We start from the raw sequence: 21,269 nt of genomic DNA on the forward strand, positions 1-21,269 counted from the left end.
CCATCTCTACTAAAAATACAAAAAAATTAGCCGGGCGTGGTGGCGGGCGCCTGTAGTCCCAGCTACTCGGGAGGCTGAGGCAGGAGAATGGCGTGAACCCGGGAGGCGGAGCTTGCAGTGAGCCGAGATCGCGCCACTGTACTCCAGCCTGGGCGACAGAGCGAGACTCCGTCTCAAAAAAAAAAAAAACAAAAAAAAAAAAAACAAAAAAAAAAAACAAACAAAGAAAGAAAAGAAAAGAGCTAACTTTGAGTAAAAAGGTGAGAATAGGCTTTAAGGCAGAAAAAACATTGGTGCGAAGGCAAAGAGCTGGCTTAGCATCGCTATTTGGGGAATGAACTGCCAATAGATCTGCTTGGCCTGTTTGGCTTTAAGGAAGACGATGTGTGTGGATGTGCTGGAAAGGGAAAAAGTAGATGGGAATCAGAAGATGAAGGGCTTTGGGGGCAGGGGCGGCTTGGAAGAATTTTCCCAAGGGTAGCAACCTGACCAGATTTGTACTTTAGAAAGATCTCCTGGAAGTAAGTGTTGGTTTGGAATCATGACCAATATTAATAAGTAAAAAGAGTACATTGTAGAACAATGTTGTATGTAACCAAACCTAAGAACCATTGATTGTATGACACATTGTGATTTTAGAGATGTTAAAATATGGAAAAAAGTTCCTCCTAAAATAGAATATGGCATAGAGAAATATGGCATGTGTAATAAGATCCTATTTTTAGAAAAAAACTATGTGTATATGTATTTGGGGGTAAAATTTAAGGACTGGATACGGGGTGACTTTAATTTTTTTAAATAGCCTTATAAACTATTTTACAATGAGAATATATTACTTTTTAGTTTGAAAAAGACACTAACGAAAAGAATCCCATAAATGAATATCAACAAAGAAAGAGACAATATCAAGTCTTTAGGCTGTAGGAGGAAGGTGAGGCTGCCCACAGGAAGAATAGTCCAGAAGTTACTGAGATGATCTAAGAAAGTGATGAAAAAGGTCTGAGCTCAGCAGTGGCCAAGAAAGGGAGACGAACAGATGTATTGGAGAAGTGTTCAGTAGATACATGTAATAGGATTTGGAGCCAGAGTAGTCTGAGGATGAGAGACCAGGTTGGCTTACTCCCATGTGTCTAGCTTGAGTGCCTGGATATAGTGCCACCCGACCAACCACTGTGTGTTTTTCTCCATTAGGGAACAGTATACCCTGGGGGGTTAGAAACAGGGAAGGCAGGCACTGAACTGTTCCAGGTTGAGGGTTGGCAGGTTAGGGCATACAAATTAAGCTTGTGGAAGAGTGTAGTGGTATGAATGGATAGTGAAGGAAGTCAGCTCAGAGGGTTAGTGGATGACTGTTACCCATGGACAATTGTTACCATCCGCCTCAGTAGAAAATATAAAAGCAGTCGTTGTTGGAAATGGGAAAGATGATCAATTCAGTTTGGACATATTAAGTTTGAGGTGCCTATGGGCCATAAAGATAGAAATATCTAGGAGGCAGTTGGTAATATAGGTTCAAGGCTCAAGGATGTGTGGCATTAGCATCTATAAATAATGGTCATTTAAACCACAGGCAATAACAAAATTGTTTAGAAAGAGATATATAGGCAGTGGGAAGAAATGAGGGTAGAGGGTGAATCCACATTTACCAAAGAGAGAGGAAAAGAAACCTGTCAGGGAGACTTAGAAGGAGCAGCTGGAGGGGAAGAGGAGCACCAAGGAAGGAGGAAGAACAGCTTTCTATGCCAAGATGCCAAGTTAGATAAGACGTGAAATATGACCATAGCCTGTTAGGCCACTGGGGCCCAATCTGGAGCAGTTTCACAACGGTGGTAGGGACAGAGACCAGGTCATAGAGTAAGTGGGGTAGAGAATGGGATGAAAAAAGCCTTGAGCATGAAAGGAAGGAGAAAAGAGAATTCTAGACAAGGAGAATATCAGATCATGTAATGTAAGATTTGTTTTGTATAGTTGTTAGAAGAGATATGAGCATGTCTGTGTGCTGAGGGAAAAGAGCCAGGAGAGGATAAGTTGAGACCTAGAGGAGAGAGTAAATAATTGATGAAACAGGGCTTGGGGTGGGGTTGGAGTCCAGAGTTCAGGTAGAGGGATTCCCTGGGACAGGAGAGAGGAGAGCCATTTTTCCCATTAAGAACTGAGAGAGGAAAAATAGCTATTGTATTCATTAGCATAGGCTAACCTGCTATAAAAATAAACCTTAACTCGTAATGACTCAAAAATAAAGTTTATTTCTCACTTACATCATTTTTAGGGCAGTTTTTAAAGACAGGCAGGCAGCTACTTCCCATGCAGTTATTTAAGGAACAAAGCTGATGGCAGCTCTGCCATCTTTAACACATGGTTTTCATATCATCAAACAGCTTGCCAGAAGGGGAAAGATCACGGTGATGTGCACGTGAAACATTTTTATAGACCAGGCATGGAAGTGGTAGACAATACTAATGCTCAAATTCCAATGGCAAAAAATTTCATCACATGATACACCTAACTGCAAGGGAGGTTGAGAAATGTAGCGGAGCTGCATGTCCAGGAGGAAGGGAGGAATAGATTCTGGTTAACAGCAGTTCATCTTGGCCATAGCTGTAGATATACATTCACTTTATTTGCACATGGAGAGCAGAAAGCTGAGAGGTTTTATGCGTGAAGACCTCCATTTTCCTCATGGTATAGAAAAGGATGCCATTCACTGAGTATGAATATGTATGAGAGAGAAAGAAGCATGAATAAAGTTCATGCATCAGTTAGGGCAATTGGGAGAAGCATATAGGATTGCCATTTGGCCAAAGGAAACAACTTATTTTGAAAGTTTATGGTGTCACCAGATCAAACCACTCTGTTATTTTCTCCATGAGGGCACAGTACCCTGGGTGTTTAGAAACAGGAAAGGCAGGCGCTAGACTGTTCCAGAGTTGAGGGTTGGCAGGTGGGGGCATGAAAATTAAGATTTTGGAAGAAGGAAGTGGTATGGATGAATAGTGAAGGAAGTCAGCTCAGAAGGGGCCTAAGAGATAGGGAGAAAAGGTTTGAGGAAGTCTTGGTGGGGTTGAAAAGCAGGCACAAGGGGAGTAAGTGAATATGAGAGCTAGAGGGTTAGGACATTGTGAGCAGAACATCAGTTATTCCCAGGTCTTGAGGCTTGAGGTTTCCAAAGTGGAATAGTTTGGGAGTGATGACAAGGTTCAGAGTGTGACCACATGAATGAAGCATGGTGGAGGGGAGAGGCATATTGAAGATGACGATACCATAGAATGGTGAGACCAGGTGTTGAATGAGTCTTATACAGGGATACAGAGTTATCTAGGATGGAGAGGACAACAAAAATTGTCTAAGTCCTTAGTACTGTGGTATGAGGAACACTGATGGCATTCTGCCAGGAGTATTTGCTCTGCTCCTCATCAACACATAGTGATGAGGAGCAAATAGTGTAATAATGTAGTGATTTACACATGTGGGTCATGTTCCAGACCACACTTCTTTATCAGATCATCAGAACAAGTATGGGAAGTGTGTAGAACAGAGATCATTACTGTTATGGATGAAATGTTTGTGATCCTCTAAATTCACATGTTGTACATCCTAACCCCCAATGTGATGGTATCAGGAGATGGGGCCTTTGGGAAGTAATTAGCTTATGAAGGTGGAGCCCTTATGAATAGGCTTTGTACCCTTATAAAAGAGAACCCACAGAGTTCCCCCACCCCTTTCTGCCATGTGAAGGCACAGTGACAAGACAGCTGTCTATGAGCCAAGAAGTGGGCCTTCCCTAGACACCAAATCTGCCAACATCTCGATCTTGTACTTCTCAGCCTCCAGAACTATGAGGGATAAATGTTTGTTGTTTAAGCCACCAAGTCTATGGTATTATGTTAAAACAGCCTGAACAAACTAACTCAATTATCTTGCAGAAAGCAGCTCTCCTTGCTATTAATAAGTCTGTATTTCTTGTAGGATGTTCTGATGAGCTTATTCTTTGCCTTCCATCCAAACCTCTACTGTGGATGTGGAGTGATATCACCACTCAGGAAGGTGGAACTGCCCAGTGTTAATCATCCAGGTCAGTGGGTAGATCCCCAGGTGATATAGTTTGGATGTTTGTCCCCTCGAAGTCTAATGTTGAAATTCGATCCCCAGTGTTGGAGGTGGGGCCTCTGGGAGGTGTGTGTGTCATAGGGGTAGATTCCTAATGAATGGCTTGGTGCCTTTCTCATGGTAATGAGAAAGTTCTTGCTCTATGGGTTCACACCAGAACTGACTGTTAAAAAGAGCCTGGCATCACCTTCCCTCTCTCTTGCTTCCTTTCTCACCATGTGACACACTGGCTTCCTTTGCCTTCTGCCATGAGTAAAGGCTCCTGAGGCCTCACCAGAAGCTGAGCAGATGCTGGCACCATGTGTCTTGTACAGCCTGCAGAACCACGAGCCTAATAAACCTCTTTTCTTTATAAATTACCCAGTCTCAGGTATTCCTTTATAACAATGCAAAATGGACTAACACCCAGGTGAAACCGTAGCAAAGGTAGAATGTAGAAATGCAGGAGAGAAAACCAGGGGGCTTGCCAACCCTCTGTCCTCACTGTCCTTTGTTCAGGTTTGGATTTCCACAAGTCTAGACATTCTGACATAGCAAGGGAAATGCATTTTCATGCTGAACTACAAGCTGAAGTTGGGGATTCTAATTTATGTGCCAGACAATCTAATGATATGGTGCTTCCTGCATTTACTTCCCTTCTCTTATTTGAACCTTTATTTATTTATTCATCAAATATTAATTGAGGGCCCACCAGGTATATGCACTTTTCTGAGGCTGGGAACACAGTGGTAAACCAAACAGATAGAATCACTGCTCTCAGAAAGTTTACATTCTAGTGAGAAAGAAACAGACAATAGACAGAAAATAAACAAGGAAATATCAGTAGCAATAAATGCTCAGATGCAAAAGCCAGCTGATATGATAGAGGCTGACTAGAGAGCTATTCTAGCAAGGACAGGCAGGGAAGGCCTTTGTTAGAACATAAAAATAAGCAGAGACCACAACGATGAGAAGAATGCAGCCAAGTGAAGATGGGGAGGAGGGAACAGGATGGAATGAGCCTTCCAGACAGAGGGAACTGCTGAGGTTACATCAGAAATGAGCATGGTTTCACCTCTGATTCTTGTGATAAAGATAGATAGATTAGGTAGATAGATAGATAGATAGATAGATAGATAGATAGATAGATAGATAGATAGAAAGAGAAAGGAGCTTGGTGTGTTTGAGGAACAGAAAGCAATCCAGCCTCGAATCTGGAGCATGATGAGCAAGGAAAGTGTGGGGTGAGGTCAGACAGTAAGCAGGATCTGGGTCTTGCAGGGCCTAATGGGGTTAGAGTTTCAATCTAAGTGTGATGGGAAGCCATTAGAAGTTTATAACCAAGAGAGTGACACATAATTTATGTAGTAAACAGACCATCTGGCTGCTGTGTGGAGAGTAGATTGTAGGGGATATTAAAGTAGGAACAGAAAATCCAGCTGAGAAACTACCACAGAAGGGGAGGTAAGAGATGGCAGTGGCTTGGAATATTAAGGCATCAGATGTGGAGAAAGATTGAGATTCGCAAAATGTTCCAGAGGTAGAACTAAGAGAGTTTGCTGATGGATTGATTTCTTAGGCTGTTCTTACATTGCTATAAAGAAATACCTGAAACTGGATAATTTATAAGAAAAAGAAGTTTAATTGGCTCACAGTTCTGTAGGCTTTACAGGAAGCATGATGCTGGCATCTGCTTGGCTTCTAGGGAGGCCCCAGGAAGCTTCCTATCATGGTGGAAGGCTAAAGGGGAGCAGGCACCTCAAGTGGCAAAAGCAGGAGCAAGAGAGAGGGAGGGTGAGGGGGGTACACACAACCTTTAAATGACCAGATCTCGCGAGAACTTACTCACTATCATGAAGACGGCACCAAGCCATGAGAGATCCATCCCGTGATCCAATCACCTCCCACCGGCCCCCACCTCCAGCACTGGGGATTACAATTCAACCTGAGATTTGGGTGGGTACAGATATCCAAACTATATCAATTGGATATAAGTTTACCAAGATTGAGAATATTGCAGGAAGAACTGGTTTGGGAGCAGGAAGTCAAGCATCCCATTTTGGAAATGTTATATTTGAATGACCATTAGATATCTAAGTAATAATCTAGAGCAAGCAATTGGACATATAAGTCTGGAGCTCAGGAGTAGGTCAGAGCTAGAGGTATAAATTTGAGTCTTTGGCTTTGAGGTGGTATTTTAAAGCTATGGGATTAGATGAATGTATCTATGGAAGAAATCTAGAAAGAGAAGAAAAAAGTCCTATGTCCAGCTCCAACATGAGGGGTCCATCTTTAGTAGTATCTTGCATAAATATTATAAGCTGTCTCAACCATACTATGGCAATGAGAGAAACTGTAAAATCCATGCTTTGTACCCCTAAAGCCAGTTTGCTGATTGTGGCTCCAGCAGACATTAGTGTGAGTAACCTTATACCCCAAGAGTAAGGTTAATTTTAAGATCTGGAGTAAAAGACTTTCCTCCATCTTGTGGAAAGTCTTCCTCTGTTACCAACTTTAGAACATATGGGTTTAAAATTTTTTAAAGGCATCAGCAGGTTTTCTACGTGTATCCTGATTTTACATGTGGAAAAACCAAGTTTCAAAGTTTAATGGTGTCTTAGCCCATTCAGGCTGCTATAACAAAATACTATAAACTGGGTGGCTTTTAAACAATAGAAATTTGTTTCTCACATTTCTGGAGACTGGGAAGTCCAAGATCAAGGTTGCAGCAGATTTGGTGTCTGCTGAGGACCTACCCTCTGGTTCATAAATAGTACCTTCTATATGAGTCTTCAGTTGGTGGAAGGGAAAACTCTGGTCTCTTCAGCCCCTTATAAGGGCCCTAATCCCACTCATGAGGACTCCACCCTCATGACCCAATTACCTCAAAAAGGCACCACTTCCTAATACCATTACATTGGGATATTTGAATCAAGTTGACTTCAAATCTATTTTCATTCTTCTTTCAGCATTCTGTACTAATTCTTGTGTTCTTCCTGAGTAACTCTATTTCCTCAGATTCAATCACTGCTTATATTCTTATGATTCCCAAATATATATGTATAGTTCACCTAGAAAAAGCACAGACTTTCAAGCAATTTTGTCATCTCGGCTCTGTTCCTATCTCCTTAAATTTGGCCAATTTCAAACCTCTCTGGGCCTCAGTCTGTTCATTTGTACAATGGGGGAATTAGATTAGTTGATTCTGAAGTCCTTTCCAGTGCTCACATTCTGATTTTAAATTTGCTGCTTCTTCTAATAATGTTAATAGTAATAATGACATTTATTGCATATGCAGTGCCAGACATTGAGCCAAGTGCTTTACAGGTGTTAATATACTTAGTACTCCTAATAGCATCCTATGAGATAGGAGCTATTATTATTTTTGTTTTATAGTTGAAGAGACCAAGATCCAGATAATGTAATTTCTCGCTATTTTGTAATGAATAAGTAAGTGGCAGAGGCAGGATTCAAACCCAGAGGGTTTTAGTCTGGAGTCAGCATCACTTAGTTCCAGCTCTGTACTTGTTTCTCTTCAAAGACCCTGAACCCTGTTCTGCCTTCTCACCTTAGCCCGACTTGACTTCTGCCCCTCAAGCGCAGGTCCTGACTTCTTGTGTTACCTCTTTCCTGTCTATCTTTATCCTCTTTCTCCTCTATCTCTCCTGGCTATTCTTTCCTTCCTACACAAAAGAAAAGAAAAGAAAAACCAAAAAAGAGTGCCTCCCTCAGTCACTGCCTTAGCCCAGCCTCATTATTCTGTGCAGATGTCCAGATGTCACCTCCTCCCAGGGATCTTTGCTGAACTCCTTGGCTAGGTCAGCTTTCCATCTCCACGTACCTCCAGGCATTTCCACTGGGAGAAAGTTAGGTTTGAGATGCCCATTAGACATTAAATAGAGATGACCAGTGTCTGAACTGTGTTGCCCCCTCATCCAGAACAGTGGCTCATGATGGTGGGACTGTGTTTGGTTCACCACTAGCAAAGACTTTGTTGTGAAGAGGACTTGGAATAACAAAATGTATTTGTTTCATGGAGCTGCTGTAATGCAGTATCACAAACTGTGTTCCTTAAAATAATGGGAATTTATTTTCTCACAGTTCTAGAGTCCAGACATTGGAAATGGAAGTGTTGGCAGGGCTGTTCTCCCTCTGCAGACCCCAAGAGAGAATTCTTTTCCTCTTCCAGCTTCTGATAGCTGTCTTCATTCCTCAGCTTCCTTGGCTTGTGGCCACATCACTCCAATCTCTTGCTCCATCTTCATGTGGCCTTCTTCTCTTCTCCTGGATTAAAGATAAACTAAAAATAAGATCCTTAATTTAATTATATCTGCAAACCTTTACCTTTTCACAAATAAGATAGCATTCACAGTTCTAGTGATTTAGACATGGACACATCTTTTGGGGGCCATCATTCAACTCACTATACAAGAAAACTGAAAGAAGTTCAGGGATGTCCTTCTCCAACCCCTCCCCTTCTCCCTTGAGTCTGGCTAAATTAAATTTCCTTCAAGATTCAGCTCAGCTGTCACGAAATCAAGGGAGTCATCCTTGACCCATACCCCCAGTCTCAGCACGTGTTCCTCCTATAATAATAATAGCTCTTGCATATTCAACACTGTTTTAAGGGCTTTATGTGTATGAACTCATTAATTCTTGCTACAAACCTATGGGTAACCTCATTACTATCCTTATTTTACCGAATCCTAATAGTCTGTTGTGTTGTCTCTGTCCCCTACTAGACCTCCTCCAGGGCAGAAACCAACCACTTATTTATCTCTGTGCCCCTAACACTCACCGCAGTACATCCAGGCTCTCTAGAAAGGCGGATGGGTTGAATAAATGACTGAATAAGAGATAGTTTGGTAATAGACTGGGGACACTTTTGAGTATCAAATTAAGATATTTGGAGAAATCCATCTCTGAGATCACAGGAGGCCAACAGAGTTTTAAAGCCAAGAAGTGATAGAAGGTACCCCTCTTTCAAATATATCCTCTTCTTGGGAGAAATCACATGAAATATTGTTTTAATTACATGTAGTTCTACCTGGGCCTTTCTACCACACTTTAGCCTCATATTTCTTGCTTCTTACTGGGTCTTTCTTGGTCCTAAATCAGCATGTCCAGACTAGCCCTCATTATCTTTCCATTCTACCAAAGTCATTCTTCCTATATTACAGAGCCCACAGGTGTTCAACCAGACCATGTGAATTTATCCCAAGCACTTACCTCACCTGCCCTGCCAACTCTATCTTCTGAACTTTATCTCAGATCCATTCCCTTGGCCACTGCTGCATTTTGGGCTCTTGCGTCTTTCACCTGGACTATTGCTGTAGCCTCCTTATCAAACTTGCTGCTTTAGTCTTTTCCAACTCCAGTCCATCCTCTATTGTACTGCCCATCTTGTAACCCTAAAAGCCAGATCAGATTATATTACTCTCTTGATAAAACAACAAGCAAACAAACCCCAAAACAATTTTGCAATGGTTATTCATTGCTTACAGGATCAAGATCTTCAAGATGTAGCTATGTCTTAATTCATCTGGGCTGCTATAACAAAATATGATAAACTGGGCAGCTTCAAAGCAATGGAAATTTAATTCTCACAGCTCTGGAGACTGGAAAGTCCAAGATTAAAATGCCAGCAGATTCAGTGACTGCTGAGGACCCATTTTCTGGTTCATAGATGGTGTCTTCTAGCTATGTCTTTACATGATAGAAGGGGCAAGGTAGTTCTCTGGGTTCTCCGAGTGCATAAATTCCATTCATGAGGGCTCTGCCCCCATGACCTCCTAATTCCATCCCATTGGTGATTAGGTTACAGAATGTGAATTTTGGGGGGATACAAACATTCAAACCATAGCAAGCTACAACCTAGTTTTTCTCCCTATTCATGAATCATTTGCCTCCTTGGTGAAGATTAATTTAGTTAAAAGTAGATAATATAATCTGTAAATCCACTTAACAAGCATACAAATAGCAATAAAGTTATAATATATACTGAAATCATTTCTTACAAAGAAACCATAGATTAAAGATAATGCTGAACTCCAAGCCCAAGCAAACAATACTGCAAGCCCAGGGGATTGGCACATACACCTAGTATGTGCCTTCAGCAATGTTAAACTTAAAACAATAACTGCCTAGCCATATCTGAAAATAATTGCTCTGCAAACTTTAAATTATGGAAAATGCCATTTATAATAGAAATTTACATGATCCCTCTTTAATGATGAGCTCCTCCTTAAGCATATACAGTCATGTGTTCCTTAACAGGGTTATGTTCTCAGAAATATGTCAGGAGATTTTGTTTTTGTGAAAACATCGTAGAGTATATTTACACAAACCTAGATGGTATAGCTTACTACACACCTAGGCTATGTGGTATAGCTTATTGCTCCTAGGCTGCAAGCCTTTATATCATGTTACTACACTGACTAGTAAGACAGAAAATAGTAGCACAACAATAAGTATATGTGTGATAGAAATTTTTCTGCTCCATTATAAGTTTATGGGACCACCATCGTATATGCAGTCTATTGCTGACTGAATCATCATTATGTAGCAATGATTGCTGATATACATATAGACAAATTTCATTTATGTTTCCTATACACATAGCCCAAAAGTAATTTTATATAATATTTTTCATAATTTTGTGCATGCAACAGATTTGACTGTGACTTGCACATATGTTTAATATATATTAACACATATATACATGTTATATATTTTAAATGTATACATACATTTAATTATAGATTTTAAATGTATACATACATTTAATTATATATTAAATTAAATGTATGTACTATATATTCATATTTTATATATTTATAGCCATATAATATTCATGTTCAATATTATATTCAATATAATGAATATATATAAAAAAAGTGAAACAACCCATCAATCTCTCTTTCTTTCTCTCTTTCTCTCTCTCTCTCTCTCTATATATATATCTTATTTAATTTTAAGTAAGAAGATGAGACTTCTTTAAGACTAAATAATGCCAGGTTGGGATATTTTAAATGTATACATACATTTAATTATGTATTAAATTAAATGTATGTACTATATTAAATTAAATGTACATACTATGTACTCATATTTTATATATTTATAGCCATATAATATTCATGTTCAATATTATATTCAATATAATGAATATATATATAAAAAAAGTGAAACAGCCCATCAATCTCTCTCTCTCTCTCTCTATATATATATATATCTTATTTAATTTTAAGTAAGAAGATAAGACTTCTTTAAGACTAAATAATGCCAGGTTGGGAGAGACATAGCTACAGGTTATTGGGAAAGAACCAGACCTTCCACCCATTAGAAGTTGAGCATTCCTTATCCAAATATCTGAAATCTAAAATCCTCCAAAATCCAAAGCTTTTGAGCACAGACCTCATACCACAAGTGGAAAATTCCATATCTGACCTCATGTGACAAGTTACAGTCAAAACATTGTTGCATGCACAAAATTATTTAAAATATTATATAAAATTACCTCAGGCTATGTGTTTAAGAAACATAAATGAAATTTATGTTTAGACTTGGGTCCCATCCTCAAGATATTGCATTATGTATATGCAAATATTTCAATATTCAAAAAAAATTTTGAAATCCGAAACACTTCTGATCCAAGCATTTTATGTAGGGATACTCAACTTGCAGCAGTCATTCACCATTCCTCCCTACCCCCAGCCACCAGTAATCTACTTTCCTTTATTATGGATTTGCCTATTCTGCACATTATATATAAATAGGAATCATAAACTATATGGTCATTTGTGATTGGCTTCCTTCATGTTTTCTTCAAGTTTCAACTATGTTGTAGCATGGATCAGTAGTTCATTTCTTTTTATTGTCAAATAATATTCCGTTGTGTAGACATACCATATTTTGTTTATCCATTCATCTATCAATAGACTGATGGGCTGTTTCACTTTTTGGCTATAATGAATAATGCTACCAGGAGCATTCATGTAGAAGTTTTTGTGTGAACATATGTTTTCATTTCTCTTGGTTATACACCTAGGAGTAGAGTTGCTGTGTCATTTGGTATCTCTATATTTAACCTTTTGCAGAGTCGCCATACTGTTTTCCATATTCGTAGCACCATTTTACATTCTCACCAGTAGTGGATTCAAGAGCACCAGATCTTACATTTTCACTTATGAAAGAACCAAAACTCTCCTCTAGGCTCAATTTTTTAAAACCTGGGAAAGGATTTTACTTCGCCTGGCCTGTGACCAATGCAGACCTGTTTTCTCATCTCTGTAGCTAGAGAAGGGTCGCCTAAGAAGATGGCCATCTAACACATGGGTGTGGGAAGGAGTTTCCCTGGAAAAGTGACATACTGGGCAGACAAGAATAGATGTCTGCCACAGAAGCCTAAAAGTTAAGGATAGCACCACCCCTTAAGGATAACTGTAAATGTGTAGGAGCAATTGTAAATGTGATACAATGACTGGGAGGGTAATAATGGCATTTAGATAGTGTCTTGGACCCGGAGGTATAAATGTCCTGAAATATGCAAGACAGTTCCCATTCAATAAAGATTTGTCCGCCCAAAGGCCAATAGTGCTCCAGTTGATAAAATCAGTTCTGTAATAATAAACTCCCCATTTTTCAGTTGGCAACATGTCTATCCAAAATAAAGATTTTATTTCCTAGTCTCCCTTTGCAGCCAGATGTGGCAGTGTGATTAAGTTCTGGCCAATGGAATGTAAGCAGAAGTGTTGTGTGCAACTTTTCACAAGGATCCCTGGAGAGAGAGGTTATGCCCTTCTTTTCACCTTTCTTCCTCCAACCCCCCAAACACTAGCTGGAATGTAGATATGATGGCTTGTGCTGGAATAGTCATCTAGATTATGAATAAAAACTCCACTTTGAGAAATAGTGGAAAAACAAGATGGGAGGAATCTGGATATATGATGATTGCAGTCATCCCAACTTCGGGCTGTCCCTGGTTAGGTGTGAAACAAACTTCTATTTTAATAAGGCACAATTTGTCTTCTATCACTTTTAGCTGAACCAAATCCTAACAAATCTAACCATATACTATGTGCCAGGCACCTTCTCAACTGTCTTACTTGTATTCTCATTTACTATTCATACTTTCCCTGTGCCCCCCATAAACCACAATGCATACAGGTCTGCCTGCTTGCAAGCCACAGTACTCTTGATGCAAATATGTATTGCAACAAATAACATTTATTGAGCCCTTACTATATGCCAAGTACTGTCTCATGAAAGCACTTTATATGCATTAACTCAATGATTTCCCATCAAACCAATAAGATAAGTACCCTTACCCCCACCTCATTTTGAGATGAAAACACTGAGGCTCAGAAAAATTAAATAACTAGCCTGAGTTCACCTAGATTTTACATGAGAGACACTCTGCCTCCAGAGCCCCTTTCTATAACTATGCTGCCCAGATAGCAACAAATTAACAAAACCCAGAACAAACTGATAATGATAAAACTAAAGTGACTGTAATTTACAATTAATAAGCAAGAAGAACTGAAATCAGAACCTAAACTACCTCAGTATAACAGTGACGATGATGATGATGATGATACATGATAAGAAAGTGGCCTTTTGAAATTTGGAGAAAAACCAACTATCTGCATATGTGCATTGGCCAAGCATTTTTCTGGCTGCTGGACTTTTTAGTAGAGTGCAAAATTAGAATTCTAATCCTTAAATATGTGCCAATTGTAGTATATAGAGATCAAATTTCAATAACTTACTAATAAATACTCGTTAGCTACATGTAAAAAGGAAGGTCTGTGGAATCACACATCATTCACATATATGAATAAAGATATGCATTTGTTGAAATTAATGTACAGTCTGTCAGGAGGGCCTATGGACCTTACTTTGAGAATCATATTTATAAAATGCTGTATGTGAAATGAAGAATCTTGTGTTAAAGCCATAGCCCTCTGTTTCTATTCATATATGAGAGATATATATCATAACTGTATTAGGGTTCTCTAGAAGGACAGAACTAATAGGACACACACACACACACACACACACATATATATAAAGGGGAGTTTATTAAGTATAAACTTACACAATCACAAGGTCCCACAATAGGTCGTCTGCAAGCTTAAGGAGAAAGCAGAGCCAGTCTGAGTCTCAAAACTGAAGAACTTGGGAGTTGGATGTTCGAGGGCAGGAAGCATCCAGCATGGGAGAAAGATGCAAGGCCCATCTCGGCTTTTCACATTTTTCTGCCTGCTTTATATTCGCTGGAAGCTGATTAGATGGTGCCCACCACATTAAGGATGGATCTGCCTTCCCCAGTCCACTGACTCAAATGTGAATCTCCTTTGGCAACACCCTCACAGACATAGCCAGGATTAATACTTTGTATCTTTCAATCCAATCAAGTTGACATTCAGTATTAACCATCACAATACCAGTTTGAAGCTTAGGGCATTAAATGTTCTGAGATGATTAAATTCAATGAACACTGATTGTATACCCACTACTTGTGACTGCATGGCATCAGGGATAAAATGATGACTAAAAGTGATCCTTGCCCTCCAGAAACTTGTAATCTACCAGAGGAGACATCAACAAGACCAGTATAACCCAAGGGCAGATGTGCCATAATAGAGGTATGTTCTAAAGGAAGAGTGAGGAGAGTGATTATTGGTGTCTCTGGATATTGGAGAAGGCTTGAACTATCATTAGGATTCTGCCAAATGGAGAAGAGAAACCAGACTGAGAGAAAAACAGCAACAAAATACAAATCTGGCCGGGTGTGGTGGCTCACCCCTGTAATCCCAGCACTTCGGGAGGCTGAGGCGGACGGATCACCTGAGGTCAGGCGTTCGAGACCAGCCTGGCTGACATGGCAAAACCCCATCTCTACTGAAAATACAAAAATTAGCTGGGCATGGTGGTGATGCCTGTAATCCTAGCTACTTGGGAGGCTGAGGCAGGGAGAATTGCTTGAACCCGGGAGGTGGAGGTTGCAATGAGCAAAGATCATGCCATTGCACTCCAGCCTAGGTGACACAGTGAGCCTCCGTCTCAAAAAACAAACAAACCAAAAAAAGGGACAAAGTTATGGAAAAACTGTAACAGGCTTACGGAGTGCCAAGTAGTTGAGGGCAATTTATTTACAGGCATATCTCAGAGATATTGCACATTCAGTTCCAGGACACTGCACTAAAGCAAGTCACACAAATTTTTTGGTTTTCCAGTGCTTATAAATGTTATGTTTACAGTATACTGTAGTCTATTAAGTATGTGATAGCATTATGTCTTAAAAAAACAATTGACGTCTCCCTCTCCCTCTCCCTCTCCCTCCACAGTCTCCTTCCACGGTCTCCCTCTGATGCCGAGCCAAGGCTGGACGGTGCTGCTGCCATCTCGGCTCACTGCAGCCTCCCTGCCTGATTCTCCTGCCTCAGCCTGCTACGCCTCACTGGTTTTCTTTTTTTTTTTTGGTGGAGACGGGGTTTTGCTGTGTTGGCCGGGCTGGTCTCCAGCTCCTAGCCGCGAGTGATCCGCCAGCCTCGGCCTCCCGGGGTGCCGGGATTGCGGACGGAGTCTCGTTCACTCAGTGCTCAGTGGTGCCCAGGCTGGAGTGCAGTGGCGTGATCTCGGCTCGCTACAGCCTCCACCTCCCAGCCGCCTGCCTTGGCCCCCCAAAGTGCCGAGATTGCAGCCTCTGCCCAGCCGCCACCCCGTCTGGGAAGTGAGGAGCGTCTCTGCTTGGCCACCCATCGTCTGGGATATGAGGAGCCTCTCTGCCTGGCTGCCCAGTCTGGAAAGTGAGGAGCGTCTCTGCCCGGCCACCATCCCATCTAGGAAGCGAGGAGCGCCTCTTCCCCGCCGCCTTCCCATCTAGGAAGTGAGGAGCGTCTCTGCCCGGCCGCCCATCGTCTGAGATGTGGGGAGCACCTCTGCCCCGCCGCCCTGTCTGGGATGTGAGGAGCGCCTCTGCTGGCCGCAACCCTGTCTGGGAGGTGAGGAGCGTCTCTGCCCGGCCGCCCCGTCTGAGAAGTGAGGAAACCCTCTGCCTGGCAACCGCCCCATCTGAGAAGTGAGGAGCCCCTCCGTCCGGCAGCCACCCCGTCTGGGAAGTGAGGAGCGTCTCCGCCCGGCAGCCACCCCGTCCGGGAGGGAGGTGGGGGGGGTCAGCCCCCCGCCCGGCCAGCCGCCCCGTCCGGGAGGTGAGGGGCACCTCTGCCCGGCCGCCCCTACTGGGAAGTGAGGAGCCCCTCTGCCTGGCCAGTCGCCCCGTCCAGGAGGGAGGTGGGGGGGTCAGCCCCCCGCCCGGCCAGCCGCCCAGTCCGGGAGGTGAGGGGCGCCTCTGCCCGGCCGCCCCTACTGGGAAGTGAGGAGCCCCTCTGCCCGGCCAGCCGCCCCGTCCGGGAGGGGGGAGGGGGGGTCAGCCCCCTGCCCGGCCAGCCGCCCCGTCCGGGAGGGAGGTGGTGGGGGTCAGCCCCCCGCCCGGCCAGCCGCCCCGTCCGGGAGGTGAGGGGTGCCTCTGCCCGGCTGCCCCTACTGGGAAGTGAGGAGCCCCTCTGCCCGGCCAGCCGCCCCGTCTGGGAGGGAGGTGGGGGGGTCAGCCCCCCGCCCGGCCGGCCGCCCCGTCCGGGAGGTGAGGGGCGCCTCTGCCCGGCCGCCCCTACTGGGGAAGTGAGGACCCCTCTGCCCAGCCAGCCGCCCCGTCCGGGAGGGAGGTGGGGGGGTCAGCCCGCCCGGCCAGCCGCCCAGTCCGGGAGGAGGTGGGGGGATCAGCCCCCCGCCCGGCCAGCCGCCCCATCCGGGAGGAGGTGGGGGGTCAGCCCCCCACCTGGCCAGCCGCCCCGTCCGGGAGGGAGGTGGGGGGGGTCAGCCCCCCGCCCGGCCAGCCGCCCCGTCCGGGAGGGAGGTGGGGGGATCAGCCCCCCGCCTGGCCAGCCGCCCCGTCCGGGAGGTGAGGGGCGCCTCTGCCCGGCCGCCCCTACTGGGAAGTGAGGAGCCCCTCTGCCCGGCCAGCCGCCCCGTCCGGGAGGGAGGTGGGGGGGTCAGCCCCCCGCCTGGCCAGCCGCCCCATCCGGGAGGGAGGTGGGGGGGTCAGCCCCCCGCCCGGCCAGCCGCCCCGTCCGGGAGGGAGGTGGGGGGGGTCAGCCCCCCGCCCGACCAGCCGCCACGTCCGGGAGGGAGGTGGGGGGATCAGCCCCCCGCCTGGCCAGCCGCCCCGTCCGGGAGGTGAGGGGCGCCTCTGCCCGGCCGCCCCTACTGGGAAGTGAGGAGCCCCTCTGCCCGGCCAGCCGCCCCGTCCGGGAGGGAGGCGGGGGGGGGGGTCGGCCAGCCGCCCTGTCCGGGAGGGAGGTGGGGGGGTCAGCCCCCCGCCCGGCCGGCCGCCCCGTCCGGGAGGTGAGGGGCGCCTCTGCCCGGCCGCCCCTACTGGGAAGTGAGGAGCCCCTCTGCCTGGCCAGCCGCCCCGTCCGGGAGGATGGTGGGGGGGTCAGCCCCCCGCCCGGCCAGCCGCCCCATCCGGGAGGTGAGGGGCGCTTCTGCCCAGCCGCCCCTACTGGGAAGTGAGGAGCCCCTCTGCCCGGCCACGACCCCGTCTGGGAGGTGTGCCCAGCGGCTCATTGGGGATGGGCCATGATGACAATGGCGGTTTTGTGGAATAGAAAGGCGGGAAGGGTGGGGAAAAAATTGAGAAATCAGATGGTTGCCGGGTCTGTGTGGATAGAAGTAGACATGGGAGACTTTTCATTTTGTTCTGTACTAAGAAAAATTCTTCTGCCTTGGGATCCTGTTGATCTGTGACCTTATCCCCAACCCTGTGCTCTCTGAAACATGTGCTGTGTCCACTCAGGGTTAAATGGATTAAGGGCGGTGCAAGATGTGCTTTGTTAAACAGATGCTTGAAGGCAGCATGCTGGTTAAGAGTCATCACCACTCCCTAATCTTAAGTACCCAGGGACACAAACACTGCGGAAGGCCGTAGGGTCCTCTGCCTAGGAAAACCAGAGACCTTTGTTCACTTGTTTATCTGCTGACCTTCCCTCCACTATTGTCCTATGACCCTGCCAAATCCCCCTCTGCGAGAAACACCCAAGAATTATCAATAAAAAAAAAATAAATAAATAAAAAAATAAAAAATAAAAAAATAAAAAAATAAAAATAAAATAAAATAAAAAAAAAGGAAAAAAAAAAAAACAATTGACATACCTTGACTAAAAAATGCTTGCTGCAAAGATACTAATGATCATATGAGCTTTCAGAGAGTCAAGATCTTTGTGCTGGTGTAGGTTCTTAGTGTTGAAGGCTACTGACTGATCAAGGTGGTGGTTGCTGAAGGCTGAGTTGGCTGTGGCAATTTCTTAAAATAAGACAACAATGAGGTTTGCCACATTGATTGCCTCTTCCTTTCACAGAAGATTTATCTGTAGCATGTGATGCTGTTTGATAGCATTTTACCCAGAGTAGAATGTCTTTCAAAATTGGAGTTGATCCTCTCAAAGTCTACCACTGCTTTATCAACTAAGTTCATGTAATATTCTAGATCCTTTGTTGTCATTTCACCAATGTTCACGGCATCTTCATCAGGAGTACATTCCATGTCAGGAAACCACTTTCTTTGCTCATCTATAAGAAAAAACTCCTTATCTGGTCAAGTTTTATCATGAGATTGCAACAATTCAGTCACATCTTCAGGCTCTACTTCTGGTTCTCTTGCTATTTCATCACATATGCAGTTACTTCCTTCACTAAAGTCTTCAACTTCTCAAAGTTATCCATGAGGGTTGGAATCAACTTCTTCCAAACTTCTGGTCATGCTGATATTTTGATTTCCTCCTATGAATCACAAATTGTTCTTAATGGCATCTAGAATGATGAATTCTTTCCAAAGGTTTCCAGTTTACTCTGCCCAGATCCATCAGAGGAATTACTATCTATGGCAGCTATAGCCTTCCTGCCTGCTTCTTTCCTTCCTTCCTTCCTTCCTTCCTTCCTTCCTTCCTTCCTTCCTTCCTTCCTTCCTTCCCTCCTTCCCTCCTTTCTTCCTTTCTTTCTTCTGGGTCTGGCTCTATTGCCTAGGCTGGAGTACAGTGGCATGATCTTAGCTCACTGCAACTTCTGACTCCTGGGCTCAAGCCATCATTCTACCTCAGCCTCCTGAGTAGCTGGGACTACAGGTGCATGTCACCACACCTGGCTAATTGTTGTATTTTTTGTAGAGATGAGGTTTTGCCATGTTGCCCAGGCTGATCTTGAACTCCTGAGCTCAAGTGATCTGCCCATCATGTCCTCCCAAAGTGCTGGGATGTGAACCACTGCTCTGGCCATGAAATATATTTCTTAAATAATAAAACCTTAAAGTCAAAATTACTCCTTGATCCATGGGCTGTGGAATGGATGTTGTGTTAATAGGCATGAAAACAACATTAAGCTCCTTGTACATCTCCATTAGAGCTCTTGGTTGACCAGGTGCACTGCCAATTAACAATAATATTTTGAAAGGGATCTTTTTTTCTAAGTGCTAAGTCTCAACAAGGTACTCAAAATATTCAGTAAAGCATGCTGTAAATAGATGTGCTGTCATCTAGGCTTTGTTGTTCCATTTATAGAGGACAGGCAGAGTAGATTTAGCATACTCTTAAGGGCCCTAGGATTTTTGGAATGGTAAATGAACATTGGCTTCAACTTCAAATCACCAGCTACATTAGCCCCTAACAAGAGTCAGCTTGTTCTTTGAAGCTTTGAAGCCAGGCATTGACTCCTCTCTAGCTATGAAAGTCCTAGATGGCATCTTCTTCCAACAGAAGGCTGTTTCATCTACATTGAAAAATTGGTTTTCTAGTGTAGCCACCTTCAATCATCTGAAGTAGATCTTCTGGATAACCCGCTACAGCTTCTATATCAGCACTTGCTGCTTCACCTTACATTTTCATGTTATGAAGACAACTTCTTTCCTTCAGCCTCATGAACCAACCTCTGTTAGCTTCAAACTTTTCTTCTGCAGCTTCCTCACCTCTCTCAGCCTTCATAGAATTGAAGAGAATTAGGGCTGTGTTCTAGATTAGGCTTTAACTTAAGGAAATGTTATGGCTGCTTTTATCTTCTATCCAGACCAATAAAACCTTCTCCATATCAGCAGTAAGATTGTTTTTCTTTCTTATCATTTGTGTGTTCACTGGAGTAGCACTTTGAATTTTCTTCAATAACTTTCCATTTGCATTCACAACTTGGATGTTTGACACAAGAGGCCCAACTGTCAGCTTGGCTTGCTTGCTCTCTCTCTCTCTCTCTCTTTCTCCTTTCCCCCCTTTATTTCTTGCTTTATACAGACAGAATTTCACTCTGTCACTCAGGCTGGAGTGCACTATCATAGATAGCTCACTACAGCCTCAAACTCCTGGGCTCAAGGGATCCTCCCACCCTAGCCTCCTGAATAGCTGGGACTATAGGCATGTGCCACCACCCCCAGCTAATGTTTTATTTTTTTACAGAGACAAGGTCTCACTTTGTGGCTCAGGCTGGTTTTGAACTCCTGGCTTCAAGCAATCCTGCCACCTCAACCTCCCAAAGTGCTGAGGTTACAGGCATGTTCCACTGTACCTTAGCTTTCTACGTGCTTTTCCCACTAAGCTTAATCATTTCTAGCTTTTGATTTAAAGTGAGACATGAGACTCTTCCTTTCTCTTGAACACTTAGAGGCCATTGTAGGGTTATTACTTGGCCTGATTTTAATACTGTTGTATCTCAGGGAATAGGGAGGTCTGAGAAGAGAAAGAGAGATGGAGGAACAGCTGGTCGGTGGAACAGTCAGAACACACACAACATTTATCAATTTCACCATCGTATATGGGTGTGGCTTGTGGTACCCTAAGACAATTACAATAGTAACATCAAAGATCACTGGGCTGGGCACGGTGGCTCCTGCCTGTAATCCTAGCACTTTGCAAGGCCAAGGCGGGCAGATCACCTGAGGTCAGGAGTTTGAGACCAGCCTGGCCAACATGGTGAAACCCCATTTCTACTAAAAATACAAAAATTAGCCAGGCATGGTGACAAGCGCCTGAAATCTCAGCTCCTCATGAGGCTGAGGCACGAGAATGGCTTGAACCCAGGAAGCAGAAGTTGCAGTGGGCTGAGATCATGCCATTGCACTCCAGTCTGGGCAACAGAGTAAGACT

The 21,269-nt window shown here is 43.9% G+C and overlaps 1 long non-coding RNA gene across 2 annotated transcripts in view; it reads right to left on the reverse strand.

The window, feature by feature from the left end:
* Positions 1 to 8,153: 8,153 nt before the first annotated feature.
* Positions 8,154 to 21,269, reverse strand: part of LOC105377294 (uncharacterized) — a 40,750-nt gene continuing 27,634 nt past the window's right edge. Inside the window, exons 2-3 of one of the 2 annotated variants that reach the window (XR_001741739.2) lie at positions 9,316 to 9,497; positions 8,154 to 8,370 (exon numbers count right to left, since the gene is read on the reverse strand). This is a non-coding gene — a long non-coding RNA (uncharacterized LOC105377294). Of the gene's footprint in view, positions 8,387 to 9,315; positions 9,498 to 21,269 lie in introns of both variants that reach the window. The other variant, XR_001741738.2, reaches the window with a different exon arrangement.

The sequence above is a fragment of the Homo sapiens genome, chromosome 4 (genome assembly GCF_000001405.40).
Source record: "Homo sapiens chromosome 4, GRCh38.p14 Primary Assembly".
Taxonomy (NCBI): Eukaryota; Metazoa; Chordata; class Mammalia; order Primates; family Hominidae; genus Homo; species Homo sapiens.